This window comes from Homo sapiens, chromosome 11 (genome assembly GCF_000001405.40).
Source record: "Homo sapiens chromosome 11, GRCh38.p14 Primary Assembly".
NCBI lineage: Eukaryota > Metazoa > Chordata > Mammalia > Primates > Hominidae > Homo > Homo sapiens.
The window spans coordinates 78,061,952-78,081,019 of NC_000011.10; the positions used below are offsets into that span (position 1 = coordinate 78,061,952).

At 46.2% G+C, this 19,068-nt stretch overlaps 3 protein-coding genes across 7 annotated transcripts in view, besides 2 other annotated features; 1 reads left to right on the top strand and 2 right to left on the bottom strand.

Annotated features, from left to right (window-relative positions):
* NDUFC2-KCTD14 (NDUFC2-KCTD14 readthrough) overlaps window positions 1–17,911 on the bottom strand; it is a 64,148-nt gene extending 46,237 nt beyond the window's left edge. For 2 of the 3 annotated variants that reach the window (NM_001203261.2, NM_001203260.2), the window contains exons 1-2: window positions 17,628–17,911; window positions 11,047–11,190 (exon numbers count right to left, since the gene is read on the bottom strand). In NM_001203261.2, coding sequence (NP_001190190.1) covers window positions 11,047–11,190; window positions 17,628–17,793 — 310 coding nt within the window. In that variant the 5' untranslated portion in view covers window positions 17,794–17,911. The remainder of the gene's footprint in view (window positions 1–11,046; window positions 11,191–17,627) is intronic. The other variant, NM_001203262.2, reaches the window with a different exon arrangement.
* Window positions 1,910–6,400, top strand: THRSP (thyroid hormone responsive). The gene is made up of 2 exons (NM_003251.4): window positions 1,910–2,390; window positions 5,708–6,400. The coding sequence occupies exon 1, from the start codon at window positions 1,931–1,933 to the stop codon at window positions 2,369–2,371; it is 441 nt and encodes a 146-aa protein (NP_003242.1). The 5' UTR covers window positions 1,910–1,930; the 3' UTR covers window positions 2,372–2,390; window positions 5,708–6,400.
* On the bottom strand, window positions 6,346–17,911 carry NDUFC2 (NADH:ubiquinone oxidoreductase subunit C2). Of its 3 annotated transcripts, none has more exons than NM_001204055.2 (3): window positions 17,628–17,911; window positions 11,047–11,121; window positions 6,346–8,085 (listed from the first exon to the last, which is right to left on the bottom strand). In NM_001204055.2, the coding sequence occupies exons 1-3, from the start codon at window positions 17,791–17,793 to the stop codon at window positions 8,036–8,038; spliced, it is 291 nt and encodes a 96-aa protein (NP_001190984.1). In that variant the 5' UTR covers window positions 17,794–17,911; the 3' UTR covers window positions 6,346–8,035. The 3 variants fall into 3 exon arrangements, with proteins under 3 accessions (NP_001190984.1, NP_001190983.1, NP_004540.1); NM_001204054.3 differs by lacking the exon at window positions 11,047–11,121 and adding an exon at window positions 11,128–11,190 and having other exon boundaries at window positions 6,346–7,959; NM_004549.6 differs by having other exon boundaries at window positions 11,047–11,190.
* Window positions 17,631–17,690: an enhancer, noted in NCBI's record as "active region_5313". NCBI's record gives its function as "activates an Ori minimal core promoter by ATAC-STARR-seq in GM12878 lymphoblastoid cells {active_cell/tissue: GM12878}" and the evidence as "EXISTENCE:reporter gene assay evidence [ECO:0000049][PMID:35858748]".
* Window positions 17,894–18,083: a silencer, noted in NCBI's record as "fragment chr11:77790891-77791080 (GRCh37/hg19 assembly coordinates)". NCBI's record gives its function as "represses an EF-1alpha promoter that drives an FKBP-Casp9 reporter gene in an ReSE screen in both phorbol 12-myristate 13-acetate-treated (for megakaryocytic differentiation) and untreated K562 erythroleukemia cells {active_cell/tissue: K562 | K562(+PMA)}" and the evidence as "EXISTENCE:reporter gene assay evidence [ECO:0000049][PMID:32094911]".

Consider the following 19,068-nt stretch of genomic DNA (forward strand, 5'->3'; position numbering starts at 1 on the left):
TTCAGTCTAAAGATAAGCTTTTTCATAGCTCTGGCTGTAGTGGGAGGGAGCAGAGGAGTGAATGATTGTCAGTTGGGAGGGTGCAGAGTGGGCTCCTGCCCTAGGGTGGAGGTGAGGGTGGCTTAGGTGAGACAACACAGAGGCCCTGTTCAGCCCCACGTCCCCTCCCTGTGCTCCCTCCTCCTCTCTCCTCTCCTGCAGGCGTGGGAGGTATCATCATTCAGCAGATTTCACCAGAGGCAGTGGAGGAGGCAGGTACCTGAGCCAGAATTCAGAATGTCTTATTCTCCACTTGACTCTGCCACTAACTTGTTGTGCAACTTTGGGCCTTTCCCCAGGCCTTCATTTTCTTTTCTTTTCTTTTTCTTTTTTTTTTTTTGAGGCGGAGTCTCGCTATGTTGCCCAGGCTGGAGTGCAGTGGTGCAGCATCATCTCGGCTCACTGCAAGCTCCACCTTCTGAGTTCACGCCATTCTACTGCCTCAGCCTCCCGAGTAGCCGGGACTGCAGGCGCCCACCACCACGCCCGGCTTATTTTTTGTATTTTTAGTAGAGACAGGGTTTCACCACGTTAGCCAAGATGGTCTCGATCTCCTGACCTCGTGATCCACCCGCCTGGGCTTCCCAAAGTGCTGGGATTACAGGCGTGAGCCACTGCGCCCGGCCATTTTCTTAAATATCTAATAAAAAATATATAGCAAATGCAGTTTGTAAACTATGACAATATGACCACGCAAAAGATTATTATCTTCCAAGACTGCTGGTCCAAGGAAAGGTCAGTAATAAAGTGGAAGCATTGTAGCTTATGGAATGACTGGTTAGATTTGGGAGAAGCCTTAGCAATAATCTAGAATCTGCATAGATAATACATCTGAGGATTGGGCTTTGTGGTTTACAAAGCATTTTTTTTCCTCTTTTGATCCCAGCCGCTTGTCTGGACTGATACAAAGCATTTTTATTAGTTTGTCTTATTCAATCCTCACACCACCTCAAATTTACAGAGGATATGGATCTGGTTAACTTGTATGACTATGTAACCTCATGTCAGTCCACAGCACTGCCTGGAGGTGGGTAGAGGTGGTCCTGGGCTGGAATCCCAGCCCCAGTGGGACCTTGAGCAAGTTACTTTAGCTGTCTGCACCTAAATTTCCTCACTGGCAAAACAGGAATACTGGTGGTTCACACCTGCAATTCCAGCACTTTGGGAGGCTGAGGTGGGAGGATTGCTTGAGTCCAGAAGTTCAAAACCAGACTGGGCAACATAGCAAGACCATCTCTACAAAAATTAAATAAATAAAACATTTACAAGGGTTGTGGTGAAGATTAAATGAGATCACTCACGAAAAAGCTCAGCAGACCCTGATGTGCAGTAGGTGCTCAATAAATGTTAGCCAGCAAAAAACAAACAAAAAAAAACTCAGCTAGGAAATTGCAGTACTGGGCTTCTGACTCCAACCTCAGTGTTCCTTGCCCCACATCAAGCTGTTTCACTTCAAATCCTCTCCATTTCACAATGGAGTCACCCCAGGTTGAAGGAGTGAACTGTGCTTTGGAGGGCTGCCCTAAGCAGGCAGCAAAGAGACAGCTTGGTCTCCAGTGACCTGAAAGAATTATTTATTGCCCTGAAGTCCAGTATACCAGTTGCCAAAGGGAAAAGCTTCCTTCCAACTGGCTCAGCAAGCTGACAGAGGAAGAGTCGGGTTCTTGCTGGGGCAGTCATGCAGAGCTGGGATGACAAGTAGAAGGCTGGCAGATCTGTCTCTGGGCAGATGGATCACCTGATACAGATGCTGGGGCCTGAGCCCTGGGATTGGCCCAAAACAGGGCTGTGTTGACCCAACAGCTGGGCATTGGCATCCTGTCAATCTGCCGAGAGCCTAGAAATAGTGCGGGGGCAGTCTGCTGGTCTCATTGTGTCAGAGGAAGCAACCATGCAGGTGCTAACCAAGCGTTACCCCAAGAACTGCCTGCTGACCGTCATGGACCGGTATGCAGCCGAGGTGCACAACATGGAGCAGGTGGTGATGATCCCCAGCCTTCTGCGGGACGTGCAGCTGAGTGGGCCTGGGGGCCAGGCCCAGGCTGAGGCCCCTGATCTCTACACCTACTTCACCATGCTCAAGGCCATCTGTGTGGATGTGGACCATGGGCTGCTGCCGCGGGAGGAGTGGCAGGCCAAGGTGGCAGGCAGCGAAGAGAATGGAACCGCAGAGACAGAGGAAGTCGAGGACGAGAGTGCCTCAGGAGAGCTGGACCTGGAAGCCCAGTTCCACCTGCACTTCTCCAGCCTCCATCACATCCTCATGCACCTCACCGAGAAAGCCCAGGAGGTGACAAGGAAATACCAGGAAATGACGGGACAAGTTTGGTAGACCTTGGACACTAGGGAAGGTAATGGTGGCCATGCTGGTGGGTGTGAGTCTACAAAGGGACATTCCAGGAGAGGAGAGGGGGCAGTGGTGCAACCCACTGGGAGAGGAACAGCCTGACTTTCAGACAGAGCCACTCTTGGGTCAGGGTATTGGGACCACAACCTAGGAGGGCCTAAGACTAGGCCTGTGTTACTATCCTTCTGACCTCAAATTGGCAATTGCAATGAAGTGATATGGAAACAGAGGGAAAAGTGGCCTGTGAGGGCATATCTCATATGCACATATATGTGTTTGTGCATGTGTGCATTTATTAGTATGTGAATGCTTGTAAATGTGTGAATTGAATGAGTGTGTTCTCATCAGTGACTTTGTTAAGAATTTAATTGAAGAGGGGCCAGGCGCGGTGGCTCACACCAAAGCACTTTGGGAGGCCGAGGCGGGCGGATCATGAGGCCAGGAGATTGAGACCATCCTGGCTAACATGGTGAAACCCAATCTCTACTAAAAATACAAAAAATTAGCTGGGCGTGGTGGTGGGTGCCTGTAGTCCCAGCTACTCGGGAGGCTGAGGCAGGAGAATGGCATGAACCTGGGAGGCAGAGGTTGCAGTGAGCTGAGATTGTGCCACTGCACTCCAGCCTAGGTGACAGAGGGAGACTCCATCTCAAAAAAAAAAAAAAAACTTACCTAAGGCATGCACATTGATTTAAGTGAACATTGTGAATTCCATTTGTGTGACAGTGTTTCCCAACATTTTTTCAAGTCACAGAACATGGAAAATTATTATATGGCACATGGGGATACATAGGTGAGGCTGCTTGCAGTACTGCTACAACAGGCTGGGGGTACTCTGACCATCCCAGGTTGGAACCCACCAAACGGGAAGCCGAGGGACCAGTCATGGCACTCTAATCCATTCCAGGCAAACTGGAGTATGCAGACATGCCTGTTGGGAAGCCCTGTTGTATGTACATATGAATATGTGTTCCAGTCTAAGCCTACATGTCTATGCACAGAGGGGCTGGGGTGGTGAGTGTGGATGAGCAGCAAGCTAGACAAGCAGGTGGTGGCAGAGGGTAGGAGGTGGGAAGGGGCCCTAGCATGGTCACCACTAGTTCACTCATGGATAAAGACTAGTATTAATAGAAATTGGACCACAGCACCTGCCAGTTTTGATTCTGTGCCACCTGCCAGCCCTGCTCCCACAAACTGGTCTCATTAGTTGTAAACAACATCCACGTCCATTGCAATCTCAAAACCACCTGATGCAGCTATGTAGGAAAAGATTCTCATCCCCAGTTTACTAGTATGGAAATTGAAGCCAGAGAGGTGAAGTGACTCACCCAAAGTCACACAGTAAGGAGACAAAAGTAAGACTGGCCTCAACTTTGAGCTGAGTGTTCTTTCCATCGTACCCACTGTCTGCCATTTTGTGTTATCTTCATAATCTGTGTGAAGGCTGCTCTGTAATTATGCGGAATAAACATGGGACCCCCAAACACAGAGCCTATGGAGAGCTCTGCTCCAGGCATTTTCTCAGCCATTTTTCCTTCTCCCGCTTCAAACCCAAACTGTCAACCTCAACCCTTCTTCCCTCTCCCGTTGAGGCTCCCTGAGTTGCCTCACAGAGGTTCTTCTTGAATTAGATGGGGCTGTGTCAACAGCTCTGGGTTCACGTTCTGATTCTATCACTAATGAGCTGTGGGGCCTTGGGCAAGCTAATTCATTTCTCTGGGTTTCAGCTTCTTCACTGAATAATAACAGTGGTTGTAAAACTAACAACTGGCATTTGAATAGTTTTAAGATCACTTTGCATATCCATTATCTAATGGAATTATCATCCCCCCCCACCTTTTTAAATTTTGAGACGGAGTCTCACCCTGTCCCCCAGGTTGGAGTGCAATGTGCAATCTCAGCTCACTGCCACCTCCACCTCCCAGGTTCAAGAGATTTTCCTCAGCTTCCAAAGTAGCTGGGATTACAGGCGTGTGCCACCACACCCAGCTAATTTTTTTAAAATCTTTAGTAGAGACCGGGTTTCACCATGTTGGCCAGGCTGGTCTTGAACTCCTGACCTCGTGATCCACCTGCCTCGGCCTCCCGAAGTGCTGGGATTACAGGCATGAGCCACCGCGCCCAGCCTATCATTCCCTTTTGCAGATGAGAAAACTGGAGGCCTGAGAAGTAAAATGAGTCCAAGTTTACTCAGTAAATAACAGCCAAGATGTGAACCCTGGCCTAATTAGTCTAATTCTTTTCCTCTACAGTGGTATTCCTTAGAGCCTTAGACTTTTGCAGAGTGGGCTCAAAGTGGGAACTGGGCATGGCAGAGTGGGTAGAAACCACACTCTGACTCACTCAGTTGCTTCAAAGGCCAGAGCAGCAACTCTACGCCATAACGTTTCAACACACCCTAACCTGATTTTCATTCAGAGGCAATATGGTATAGCAACAGTTAAAAATCTGGGCTCTTGTTCTGGCTCTTCCATTGACTTCTGTATTATCCTAGACAACTTTTTTTTTGAGATGGAGTCTCACCCTATTGCCAGGCTGGAGTGCAGTGGCGCGATCTCAGCTCACTGCAACCTCCACCTCCCGATTCAAGCAATTCTCCTGCCTCAGCCACCCGAGTAGTTGGGACTACAGGTGCACGCCACTACACCCAGCTAATTTTTTGTATTTTTAGTAGAGATGGGGTTTCACCATGTTGGCCAAGATGGTCTCAATCTCCTGACCTTGTGATCCTCCCCGCTCGGCTTCCCAAAGTGCTGGGATTACAGGCGTGAGCCACCGCACCCAACCTTTTTTTTTTTTTTGAGATGGAGTCTTGCTCTTGTCACCCAGGCTGGAGTGCAGTGGCGCCACCTTGGCTCACTACAACCTCTGCCTCCCAGATTCAAGCAAGTCTCCTGCCTCAGCCTCCCGAGTAGCTGGGATTACAGGCTCACGCCACCATGCCTGGCTAATTTTTGTACTTTTAGTAGAGACAGGGTTTCACCATGTTGGCCAGGCTGATCTCGAACTCCTGACCTCAAATGATCCACCCACCTTGGCCTCCCAAAGTGCTGGGATTACAGGCGTGAGCCACCACGCCCGGCCCTAGACAACTTATCTTACCTTTCTGTATCTGTTTCCCTGTTAGTAAAATATAGCAGAGAAATCAAATGAGTTATTCCAGCTCTGACAACCTAGGATTCTCCTTACAGTGCTGAGGCACTGCCAGTTTTCCAACAGCAACATCAGCATTGTTCTTCCTGCTTCAATGGGCATGTGACAGTATCTTGGTTGTTTGAATTGATACTGACTTGGCCTTTTAAAAATTTCTTCACTCCACAGATCCCTTCACATGATAGAAGACAGACTCTTTGATGAGGTCGGCGGAGCAGTTCACTAGCCAATGATGAGAGCAGAAAGGCCTAGACCTGCAGCCAGAAGTGAAGGCGGCTCAGTTCTCCGGGATGCTTCTCTACCTCCTGAGCACCAATTCCTGGATTCCAGTCACTGGCTCACCTTTAGAATGTCTGTTGCTATTCACTGCTCCCCTCGCTCCTCTTAACAGCTTGGGGAGGTGACCAGTGGTTCAGGAGGGACTAGACAATTACCTGTCCAGTGTGGTATGGTAGGAAGAGTGTAGGTGTTGGCACGTGACCAAAATTCACATCCCTCCTCATGGCAGTCATTCAGTATGTGTACTTGTACAAGTTATTTAACCCATTGGAGCCTAAATTCCCTCATCTATAAAATGGGGATAATATTATCTACCTCACAAGCTTATGAAAACTAAACATGATGAATCAAAAGCACTTGGCATGTGAGGGCTATTAAAATAGCCTGATTTTTTTTTTCTCCCCCTCTCCCCAATGTATTTGCTCTGGCCCTTGCTTTTTACCCTCCAGAGCTAAGAGGTAGCAGAGTCTCTTGGGATGAGTGATTCACCCTCTTACTTGGCGACCACTGATGAGATCAACAACAGGTGAACTATAAACCTATTATTTATTGCAGAACTAATAAAAAATCCAAAGCCTTGTATTTGTACATCTTTATTATTTCTAAAGCACTTTCCTCAACCTAATTTCAGTTTTTACAATTGGTACTCAAGAAAATAGAGACAGAAATCATTTGATTTTGCCCAGAAACCATCTGCTTATATTTATAAGGCCACCTAATTTGAAATCACATATAGACCAGGCGCGGTGGCTCACGCCTGTAATTCCAACACTTTGGAAGGCCAAGGCAGGTGGATCACAAGGTCAAGAGATTGAGACCATCTTGGCCAACATGGTGAAACCCCGTCTCTACTAAAAACACAAAAATCAGCTGGGCGTCGTGGCATGCACCTGTAGTCCCAGCTACTCGGGAGGCTGAGGCAGGAGAATTGCTTGAACCCAGGAGGTGGAGGTTGCAGTGAGCCGAAATTGCGCCACTGCACTCCAGCCTGATGACAGAGCAAGACTGTCGTCTCAAAAAAAAAAAAAAAAATACCACATATACTTTATCTCCAAAACCTAATCTGATTATAAATTCTAAGCTAGGAAACAAAAACTTTTGGGACAAGTACTTTTTTTTTTGACGGGGTCTCCTTTGTCACCCAGGCTGGAGTGTCACCCAGGCTGCAGTGAACTGTGACACAACCACAATTAATTGCATCCTCGAATTCCAGGGCTCAATAGATCCTCCCACCTCAGCCTTATGAGTAGCTGGGATTGCAGGAACGTGCCACCACGCCCAGCTAATTTTTGTATTTTATGTAGAGACAGTGTTTCACCATGTTGCCCAAGTTGGTCTCGAACTCCTGGGCTCATGCAATCTGCCCTGCCTCAGCCTCTCAAAGTGCTGGGATTACAGGCATGAGCCACTGCATCGGGCCAGGACAAGCATTTGATAAGCCATAAAAAGTAACCTCATTCCAGTTAGGTACAGTCTTTTGCTTCTAATTGCACCAAGCTCCACTGTAGACAGTATTAGCTCCTGAGTCCATTTTCTCCAGGATAACCCACCTAAGAGCAAAGACAACTTGGCAACATAAGATTTCTGTTTTCCTTGTCTGGAGTCTCCTCCTTCGAAACCACCTTCTATATCATTCATTATAGACAGCTCAGAAATACAAACCTGACTGTATGATTTAAAACGCCTTAATGACTTAATACCTACAGGATGAAGTCAAAATTATTTGGCAAGAGTCACAGAATCCTCCATAATCTGGCTCACTCTAAATTCACTTTGCACTAGGACAGGGGCAGGCAAACCTTTTCTGAAAGGGCTACATATTAATTAGGCTTTGCAGGCCATAGGTCTCTATCACAACTACTCAATTCTGCTCTTGCAGCATGGCAGTCGCCATAAACAACATGTAAACAAATGAGCATGGCTGTGTTCCAATGAGACTTTATTGGCAGTGGGCCAGATTTGGGTAGTCTGCTAACTCTAAACTAGAATTCAACCTCATCTTAAAATCTTTCAGATGGGTGAATGGAAACTGACCATTCTCTGATGATGAACTATTTTTCTTACAACAATAAAGAGTCAGAGTACTCATGGTACGTATTTTAATTACAAGGTGTCAACATACAGATTAGCATAAGCTTCAACTGTCATAAGAAACATGTTCCATCAAATTCAGAAACAGCAGGTATCAGTGAAACTGGAGCAAGCATTTTGAAGACTTCAACGTATTGGATGGAATTTTTCAAAAATTTCACCATATGTTTTCTTATCTATAAAAGGAAAGATCATAAAAGATTTATTTTAAAAATATGTTTTAAAAATTGTATTTCCTAAACGAAAATTAACACTCACTAATCTTATGATTGAAATCCTGCTGTGGTCTGAATGTTCATGTCCCCCCAAAGTTCATAAATTGAAATGTAACCCCCAAGATAACGATATTAAGAGGTTAGGACTTTGGGAGGTGATTAGGTCACAAAGGCTCTGTCCTCATGAGGGGGATCGGCTTAGGGGACCTTGTTTGCCTCTTCTACCATGTGAGGACACAGCAAGATGGCATCATCTATGAAGCAGAGTGGGCCCTCAGCAGACACCAACTGTGCTGGTACCCTGATCTTGGACTTCCCAGCCTCCAGAATTGCAAGCAATAAATTTCTATTACTTATATATTACCCAGTCTATTCTGCAATTATACAGGTGGTAAGAAAAACAAAGTTAAAAAATTTTTTTTAATTACCCAGTTTAAGGCATTTTGTTATAGTAGGCCAAACGGACTAAGACAAACCCCTAAGAATTTCCTTATTTTCTTGTCCTTGACTATGGCTTGGTAATCACTGAAGGATTTTCTTTCATTGACTGAAGAATAACTTTGGAGGAATCTGTGATGACAACCAAATGACTGCCAAGAGGGACAAGGTGCTGCCAGGAGTATCCTGACTGAAGAGGTGAAGGAAGAAATAAACACAGAGGGGCACAGGTCAGCTAGGAGAGGCCAACAGCCAATGTGGTCAAGCTCTCCGGGCTCCCACTGTCTGTGCATGAGGCTCTTGGCACAACTGCCACTAATCTGCAGCTCAGAAAGAGAATGAGCCCTGAAGCTATACACACTCCTGCAGACACAGGGAACTCATGGAACTATGTCTAGGCAAAGAGCCAGAGGTCTGAGACTGAAGACTCCTCAAGCCACTGGGCCTCACTCCTAGTAATCAATATATCCAAGATGACTTCCAGCTCTAACATTTAACGGTTCTGGGTATTATGCATTCCCGATACATCCACTATTCATGGCTTTGTGCTAGTCTTTAAGCTCTTCTTTGGCAAAAAAAGAAACTGTATCTTTCTGATCCACCATAAATATCATATATGTGACTGAAGGCTGTGGGAATATTAAAGAGTAATAAAATTTTAGAGCTAAATAAGACCTTAGAGATCATTCAGTGTAATGAAATTTAAATGTTTTATATCACGCATTTACATTAACAGAAGAATTTTTTTTTTTTTTTTTTTTTGAGACAGGGTCTCGCTCTGTCACCTAGGCTGGAATGCAGTGGTGTGATCACGGCTCACGGCACCTTGTCCTCCCAGGCTCAAGTAATCCTCCTGCCTCAGCCTCCCAAGTCAATGGGTCTATAGGCATGTGCCACCTCACCCAGCTAATTTTTTAATTTTCTGTAGAGATGAGGTCTCACTATGTTGCCGAGACTGGGGAAAATCTATTTATGTTTACAAGTTCAAATTTTTTCTATACTCATTCATTTACACATTTAATAAGGCTATGTGTGCCAAACCCCTGGGGAAACCAAAAAAAACTGTCGTAGTAGTTAAACTCCCAGCCTACAGATACTCATATATGTGCACATCTGTGTTGTGTATATGTGTGTAAAACACAGGTGAGAAAAGTTATATTACAACTATTAATAGATTCATAGCAGACTAGAGATAGAGCACCCTGAGGGAATGCCTGACTGTAGCTGGGTGAAAGCTTCACTGAGATAATAAAAGCAGAAATTTGCTAGGTGGATGGGGTGGAAACAGGGGCAAGAGGAAGAATAACATAGCAGGAAGAAGGTACAACATGTATAAAGTAATATAGGGCAGGTTCGGGACAAAGCATTTCACCAGGCAAATGATGAGTGATGAGGAATGAGGAAGTATTCCATACGGTTCATATCCACTATTATGCATAAGTAAGTGCCTGCTATGTGTAGGCTCTATACAAGAGGCTGGGGAAACAAAGACGAAGCTACAATCCATGAAGAACACACACATGTGTATATCATATGGTAGATAAGAATGTGGGTAAAGTGTTTCTACCAGAGGACAGGCAATTAGCTAACCTGGAGTAAATGAGCCATCCTAAGGAGTCTGGATTTTATCCACTAGGCAATGGATGACTTATTTATTTTATTTTAATTTTATTTTATTTTTTGAGACACAGTCTTGCTGTGACACCCAGGCTGGAGTGCAATGGCGCGATCTCAGCTCACTGCAACCTCCGCCTCCCAGGTTCAAGCGATTCTCCTGCCTCAGCCTCCCAAGTAGCTGGGCTTACAGGCACCCGCCATCATGCCCGGCTAATTTTTGTATTTCTAATAGAGACAGGGTTTCGCCATGTTGGCCAGGCTGGTCTCAAACTCCTGACCTCAGGTGATCTGCCCCGCTCGGCCCCCCAAAGTGCTGGGATTACAGGCGTGAGCCACTGCGACCAGCCGGATGACTATTTTAAACAGATGTGATCAGATTTGCTGTCATTGGAAATAAGACCAAAGCAAGTGGTGAGTTAAGAGGCAAGTGCAACAGTCCAAGCAAGAGATTAACAAGGCCTGAACCAGGGTAGTGGTAGTGGGAGAGGAGAGTTCAAAGTTAAGAAATATTTAGGAAGTAGAACTGATAAGACCTGATGACTAATGGGAAGTGAAAGAGAAAGACTTGATGATTCTCAGGCTTCTGGCTTGAGTGTCCAGGTGGACAGTAGTGCCATTCTCTGAAGCAGGACACAGAGGAGCAGGAGGTTTGGGAAGGCAGAGGGGATATGAGTTTTGTTTGCTGTCCAAAGGACACGGAGGTAGTCAGAAACTGGATATATTAATTCAAGAGAATTTTGGTCTATAGACTAAGATGTGGGAGTCAACAGAATTTAGAAGGTATCTAAAGCCATACACATGGATAAGATTAACCAGGGAAAATAATAATACAGTAAACACAGATTATCTAAAATTAACTTGAAATACCTTCTTCAGGAAAATCCTCTGGATGTAATTTCATATATCCAAACATTTCACGGTCCCTCACAGCATACAGGTAGTCTTCACGTTTTACAAGATAATATCCAGCAAAAAAAAAGGCCGTAATATATAGAAGCTGGCGATGCAAACCTGAAATTCAAATGACAAATCCCAAAGAAAGCAAAAATTAGTCCATGTGTATTAAGAGTTACATTTTTGGCTGGACGCAGTGGCTCACACCTGTAATCCCAGCACTTTGGGAGGCCAAGACAGGTGGATCACCTGAGGTCAGGAGTTCGAGACCAGCCTGGCCAACATGGTGAAACCCTGTCTCTACTAAAAATACAAAATTTGGCTGGGGGTGGTGGCGGGTGCCTGTAGTCTCAGCTACTTGGGAGGCTGAGGCAGGCGAATCATTGGAACCTGGGAGGCAGAGGTTGCAGTAAGCTGATATTGCGCCATTGCACTCCAGCCTGGGTGACAAAGCGCCTGGCCTGTTATGGCATTTCTTAAAAAAATAAAAATAAAAAAAGCACTGGGCTCAGTGGCTCACGCCTGTAATACCAGCACTTTGGGAGGCTGAGGCAGGTGGATCACCTGAGGTCAGGAGTACAAGACCAGTTCACATGGTGAAACCCTGTCTCTACTAAAAATACAAAAATCAGCCAGATGTGGTGGTGGGCACCTGTAATCCCAACTACTTGGGTGGCTGAGGCAGGAGAATTGTTAGAACCCGGGAGGCAGAGGTTGCAGTGAGCCGAGATCGCGCCGTTGCACTCCAGCCTGGGGGACGGAGTGAGGCTCTGTCTCAAAAAAAAAAAAAAAAAAAAAAAGCTATTCTGAACAAACCGCCTTGATCCCTGACTTTGAGACACCCTACATATTCTTTTTTTTTTTTGAGACAGGGTCTAGCTCTGTCGCCCAGGCTGGCGTGCAGTGGCACAATCACAGCTCACTGCAGCCTCAACCTCCTAGGCTCAAGCAATCCTCTCACCTCAGCTTCCCAAGTAGCTGGGACCAAAAGCGTGCACCACCATGCCTTTTTTCTTTCTTTCTTTCTTTCTTTTTTTTTTAAGAGGGGTCTTGCTATGTTTCCCAGACTGGTCTTGAACTCCTGGGCTCAAGCGATCCCCCTGCCTCAGCCTCCCAAAGTGTTAGGATTACAGGAATGAGCCACCACACTCGGCCCACATTATCACTTCTTTAAAGGTTAACAAATCTAAAATATTACATGCAATGTATATTTTAGCATATAGCACTTAATATTTATTTAATAAATGAATGAACAGCCTTGGGCAATTCAATTTACTACCTCTAAAACATAGACAAGACCTATCCTGGCTGGGCGTGGTGGCTCACAACTGTAATCCCAGCACTTTGGGAGGCCGAGGTGGGTGGATCACCTGAGGTCAGGAGTTCAAGACCAGCCTGGCCAACATGGTGAAACTCCGTCTCTACTAAAAATACAAAAATTAGCCGGGCGTGGTAGCACGCACCTGTAGTCCCAGCTACTCAGGAGGCTGAGGCTGGAGAATCGCTTGAAGCCAGGAGGTGGAGATTGCAGTGAGCCAAGATCACACCACTGAACTCTAGCCTGGGCGACAGAATGAGACTCTGTCTCAAAAAAAAAAACAAAAAAAGACCTATCCTATCTTTCTCACAGTAGTAGCATATAAAACAAGACATATGCATATAAAAGTATTTCCGAAAATGTATAAAACAATAAAAATGAAAAATATTCCTATGTTCTAGAACTGGACAGAGCACTCTCTCTTACCCCAAACAGCCACTGCTTTCCATAATGGGCTACCCGCCATATAGCAAACCAAAGAGTGCATGTTCTCCCATGTGCCACTGGACTGCAGAGACACACAGAACCAGACTCTCTCTACGCTGACCCATGTTCCTCACAGAAAGACTCCATAAGCGTTCGAGATGATGATGTCAGCATCCTAGCCCTAAAGGCATGGCTTGGCCTCTTGCCAAGGCCCCATTTTCCTAACCTCTCTCCTCATTCTCTCTTAGTGGTCGACCTCTCACTACCTGCACACCCCATCTACAATCATTTTCCCATTGTTTACTCAGTGAGTCTAACCCCGGCAGCTATTGTGCTCTTTGAAGAACATCATAAATTACTGATAAACTAGAGATCAATAAATATTTAATTTTGTGGGCTATACTTAGCATACCAACTAACTCTAAATTTCGGGCACATTAAGTGGTAACCAGCAAGAAGGTTAAGTTTTAAAAAACAGATGATGAGAGAAAAACTTATAAAAAAATTCTATTTATTGATAGTACAGTAGGGTGACTACAGTTAATAATAATTTGTTGTATAGTTCAAAATTGCTGAAGGAGAGGAATTTGAATGTTCCCAACATAAAGAAGGGGTGAATGTTTGGGGTGATGGATGTCCCATTTGCCCCAGTTTCAACATTACACATTGTATGCATGTATCAAAATACCACATGTACCCCCAAAATACGTACAACTTATTTTTAAAGTCTTATTCTTAAGGAATTATTTTAACATTTCCTGCTAATTTGAAAAAGAGCTACACAATTTTATTTCATTGATAGAAATTCATTATTATGAGACATATTCATTATTATGAGACAGAATCTTGCTCTGTCACTTAGGCTAGAATACAGAGGCATGATCACACTCACTGCAGCCTCAACCACCCAGGCTCAAGTGATCCTCTTACTTCAGTCTCCCAAGTAGCTGGGATCACAGGTGCATGCCACCACGTCCAGATAGCTTAAAAAAATTTCTTTTGTAGAGACAAAGTTTCCCTGTGTTTCCCAGGCTGGTCTTGAAACCTGGGCTCAAGCAATCCTCCCACCTCAGCCTTCCAAAGTGTTGGGATTACAGGTGTGAGCCACGGTGTCCGGCCAGAATATCCCATTACTCACAGAATGCCAGGTACTCGCCAGGGCTGTAGTTTGAAAATCTACCATATCTCTTCCACCACTCCTCCAACTGTCTTAGAAACATCATTTATGTGACACACACCTTCACTCTATATGCACAATCTTGTACCACAATTTGTCTTTTTAATGGATATGGCCATCTGGTCTGTAAACCTTTGGAGGATTGGGACCATGTTTTATATTCCTTGTAATCTACATATACTTATTCACTCAATACTACTTTTTTTTTTTTTTAAAGACAGAGTCTCAGTCTGTCGCCCAGGCTGGAGTGCAATGGCACAATCTCGGCTCACTGAAATCTCCACCTCCCAGGTTCAAGCAATTCTCCAGCCTCTGCCTCCCGAGTAGCTGGGATTACAGGCATGTGCCATCACGCCTGGCTAATTTTTGTATTTTTAGTAAAGACAGGGTTTCACCATGTTGGTCAGGCTGGTCTTGAACTCTTGACTTCAGGTGATCCACCCGCCTCAGCCTCCCAAAATGTTGGGATTACAGGCATGAGCCACCACACGTGACCTCACTCAATACTTACTGAACACCTACTATAGATATTAGACACTGAGCTAGATAAACACAATATGCATTCAGTAAATGCTGTTGAGGACAACCATTTCAACAAAGTCCTAGGACCTAAATCTTCCAAAGCAATTTAGGGAAGCTCTGGGAACTCAGGAAGTCTGATCCCTACTCCTGGGCTAAGCAGTTTATATTCATTATCTCATCCAGTCCTCAGAGATAGGTAACTTCCTCAGAATCAAATTACTAGTAGGGTGGAGGTGATGTCAAACCCCAAAGCATATGCTCTTAACTGCTATACTCTTCTGTCTCCCAGAAAGGCACAAACGGCTAAACTAACAACGAGATTAAGTGGTACATACGTCACATTTCAGCCAACCTTTACTTCCTCTAGAGCATTCTCCCTCCCAACTGTATCTCCTTTGTGCTCCTAAAGTGCTTTCTGCTCACCCACCTCTATCAAAACATGTATCTATCATACCAAGATCAGCAACAGGCTGTTTACCTGTTTGTCTCCCTGATTTCACTAGGAGCTCCATAGGGCACATAACAGAGAAACAGTTAAGTAAGGCCAGGCACAGTGGCTCACACCTATAACCCCAGCACTCTGGGAGGCCGAGGTGGCAGGATCACTTGAGGCCAGAAGTTTGAGACCAGCCTGGCCAAGATGGCAAGACCCCATCTCTACAAAAAATTTTAAAATTGGCCAGGCCTGGTGGTATGTACCTGTAGTCCCAGCTACTTGGAAGGCTAGGATAGGAGGATCGCCTGAGCCCAGGAGGTCGAGGCTGCAGTGAGCCATGAGTGCACCACTGCCCTCTAGCCTGGGTGACAGAGTGAGACCCTGTCTCAAAAAAAAAAAAAGGGTTCTGTAAATGAACAATTTACAAATATATGGTAAACTGTTTGCATAACAAGAGCTAAGGAAGGGGAACTCTGTCCAGCACCTTTTGCATGTCAGACATTTTACCTACAGAATCTCACTCAATTCTCACAACAAATATGCAAAAATTAATTATTCTTATTTTATAGATGAGGAAACTTTGGCTCTGATCGACCTGACCATGTAACTTGCCCAAAGTGACACAGCTGGAAAGCAGCAGAGCAAGTCTGTTTATTTATTTATTTATTGGAGACAAGGTCTCAACTTTGTTGCCCAGGCTGGAGTGCAGTGGTGCAATCGTGGCTCGCTGCAGCCTCAACCTCCTGGGCTCAAGTGATTCTCCTCCCTTAGCTTCCTGAGTACCTGGGACTACAAGTGCACATCACCATGCCTGGCTAATTTTTTAAATTTTTTTGTAGAGACAGGGTCTCACTATGTTGCCCAGGCTGGTCTTGAACTCCTGGCCTCAAGAGATGTTCCTGCCTTGGTCTCCCAAAGTGCTGGGATTACAGGTGTGAACCACAGTGCCTGTGCCTAGTGAGCAAGTTTGTTTAGTTCCAAAGTGGAGCTCTTTTCATTACACCAAGTGACAGTCTTGGGCAAATATGAAGTGGTGATGAAAAGGGAAAACCTCGAGTCCTCAGAGGCATAAACGGACAAAGATGACTCCTTTCTGAAGTGAGGAGTTATGTCCAAGGGAGATAGGACTTCAATACTATTTGAGCACTGGAAATGTGGGATTTGATGGGTTGGGAGCTGACCTTCAGGCATGACATACAGCTGTAAGAAGGCAAAAGAGGTACAAGTGTGGTGACTCCTAATTGCCTGAACCATTGCCTGAGCTTTTTTCCTGATTGTGCTTCTTGGCTCCAATCAACGCCTCACATTGCTGACAAAGATGACTTTTTAAAATACAGAGCTCATCACTGCACCCTTGCAGCTCTCAAAAGCTTACAAAGTTCCTGACTGCCTAGAAAATAAATTGCCATGCTCTGCTAAAATCTCCCTTGCAGTTTTATCTAAACCTGAACACTCACTCAATCATCAAACACCCTCCATTCAGAGGTCCTTGCCCCCATTAGCTCCCACTAGCCCCACGGGCCTAGAAAGCTGTCTGTCTCTCAGTCCTGCCTGATAATCAAAGTTAACTTCAAAGACCCCTCTTCCAAAGTTCCTCTCCTCTTTTCCCTCTGGAAATCCATAGAGCTTAGCAAAGCTACTGTGGTGGTTATTATCAGAATAGTCAGTGTCTCTGATAGGAAGCCAGTGACATACTACTGGGAAGTACAGCACACTGGTTTAGAGCCTCCTATTCAAACCGTGGTCCTCAGACCAGCAGCAGCAGTGTTTGAGCGCTTGTTGTTAACATCAAGTTCCTCCCCAGACCTCATGAATCAGGATCCGCTTTTTTTTTTTTTTTGAGACAGGGTCTCACTTTGTTGCACAGGTTGGAGTGCAATGGTGCAATCTCGGCTTACTGCAACCTCTGCCTTCCAGGCTCAAACGACCCTCCTGCCTCAGCCTCCCTCAGCCTGGGACCACAGGCGTGCACCACCACGCCCGGCTAACTTTTGTATTTTTTTGTAGGGACGGGTTTTCGCCCTATTGCCCATACTGGTATCGAATTCCTGAGCTCAGGCGATCCGCCCGCCACGGCCTCCCAAGGCGCTGGGATTACAGGTGTGAGCCACCTCGCGCAGCCCAGAATCCGAATTTTAACAAGACACCTATGCTATTCGTATGCACATTAAGTTTGAGAAGCACTGGTGTCCAATATCCATTCAGAGGTCAAAAAAAAAAAAAACCAAGCTCTGCTACTTAATAGCCATATGACCTTGGGCAAGCTGCTGTTAATCTGTTAGGCTCGGTTTCCTCGTTGTGAATAATACATCCCTAAAAGTGTTTTAAGGCCGAAATGCTATCAATAATGCCCACAGTGTGAGTAGTGCATGGCATGGAGTCATGGCTCATTTGCGCACACAGCACAACACGAACTGAGGAGAGTAGTTTCGGGTCCTTCACAGACTCAGTTCCTGCTTCACTGCACCTCAGTTTCTTCAAGTGCCAAATGACACTCTGGCTCTGCTTGATTCTAAAGAGCTAATGGGGCGCGGACTCCCCGGAAAGGCGAGATGGGGCCAGCTAGGCAAAAAGGCACGGAAAAGCAGAGCACCTCAGGGGGGCCTACGGCCGGGCCAGTCTGCAGCCCTACGACCCCTTCTCCTCCCAGCCGATCCCGGCCGCGCAGCACTCACCAGCCGTCGCGATCGGCCTCCGCCGGATTAGGTTATCAATCAGGCCGGAGCAGTAGCCCAAGAAGCCGATGTAGAGGAGCCGCGGGTCGGTCAGCTTGGGCGGGGGCAGGCTCCGGGCCTCATCCGGCAGAAACCGTAAGGGTTCTGGGTTCCGCCGTGCGATCATGGTGACGCCGTTTCCACTTGAGGCCTGGTCTCAGACCACGAACTACAAGGAAAACCACGACGACCACTACCCCGGCCTAAGCGGTCAGCTTTCTCCTCCTCCTCTGCGCGCCGGACTCACGGGCACGGCGCAGCGCGGTGCAGCGCCCAAACGCTTCCCGGTACGTGTTGCTGCGGGAACCCGGCACGCGAAGTTCCGGGCTACTAAGTTTCACTTTGCTCGTCCGCCCGCGCTAATTCTCTGGTGGGAGTGGGATTCACGGGCCTGGTAACGCGGGGTCGAGGAGTACCCCAAACGAGCCAAACTGGGCGAAGACTAGGAGATACTGATTTTCTTTTCTCCCAACTTCCCCAACCAGAATTGCCTCTCCCTCCCCTGCCCCTTCTGGAAAGATTTATCTTTTCATCCAATACCCACAAATGGGCATGATGCGTAGTTTTGATAAACGTAATTAATTGAAATTCCATAAAAGCTAGTTTTCGTTTTCTGAGTTTTCAGTCGTTCATTCGCATAGACACTCCCTCCAAAGCCTAAAATTAAGGTCTGGCCAGCAACAAAAGAATTTAGAGAAGCCCAGGACTGGATCGTTTTAGTCTATTGTTGAAATTCAGATTCGGAGGCAGCACCCTAAAATGTTTCACCTCTGGGTCTTCACGTCGTTACACATGGCTGAGTGAGGAGGTGTTCCCTAAAGGTTTGAGTAATGAGGCCAGGCGCCGTCACTCACGCCTGTAATCCCATCACTTTGGGAGGCTGAAGTGAGCGGATCACTTCAGGAGTTCAAGACCAGCTTGGCCAACATGGTGAAATCCCATCTCTACGAAAAATACAAAAAATTAGCTGGGCGTGGTGGCGGGTGCCTGTAGTCCCAGCTACTGGGAAGGCTGAGGCAGCATAATCGGCTGCTCGGGAAGCTGAGGGGGGAGAATCGCTTGAACCTGGGAGGTGGAGGTTGCAGTGAGCCGAGATCGCACCATTGCATTCCAGCCTGGTCAACAAGAGCGAAACTTCGTCTCAAAAAGAAAAAAAAAAAGGTTTGAGTAATGAAAGAAGGAATTTATAATTCTGTTAAGCAATTTTCCAGTCTCTGCTGTCAGGCCTCTCAGCCGAAGCTCAACCATTGTAACCCCTGTGACTTGCACATATGCGTCCAGATGGCCTGCGGGAGCCAAGAAGTCTGGGGCAGCCAAAAACCCACAAAAGAAGTAAAACAGCCACTTCCTGCCTTAACTGATTAACAAACATTCCACCATTGTGACTGGTCCCTGCCCTACC

Excerpts from the sequence above, each read along its gene's own strand:
- THRSP (NM_003251.4), top strand. The coding sequence starts at position 1,931 with ATGCAGGTGCTAACCAAGCGTTACCCCAAGAACTGCCTGCTGACCGTC.
- NDUFC2 (NM_004549.6), bottom strand. The coding sequence starts at position 17,793 with ATGATCGCACGGCGGAACCCAGAACCCTTACGGTTTCTGCCGGATGAG. Across the intron at positions 11,191-17,627 it reads GAGGCCGATCGCGACGGCTG|GTTTGCATCGCCAGCTTCTA; the intron begins GTGAGTGCTGCG and ends TTTGAATTTCAG. Across the intron at positions 8,086-11,046 it reads AGAGGATTTTCCTGAAGAAG|ATAAGAAAACATATGGTGAA; the intron begins GTATTTCAAGTT and ends TTCCTTTTATAG.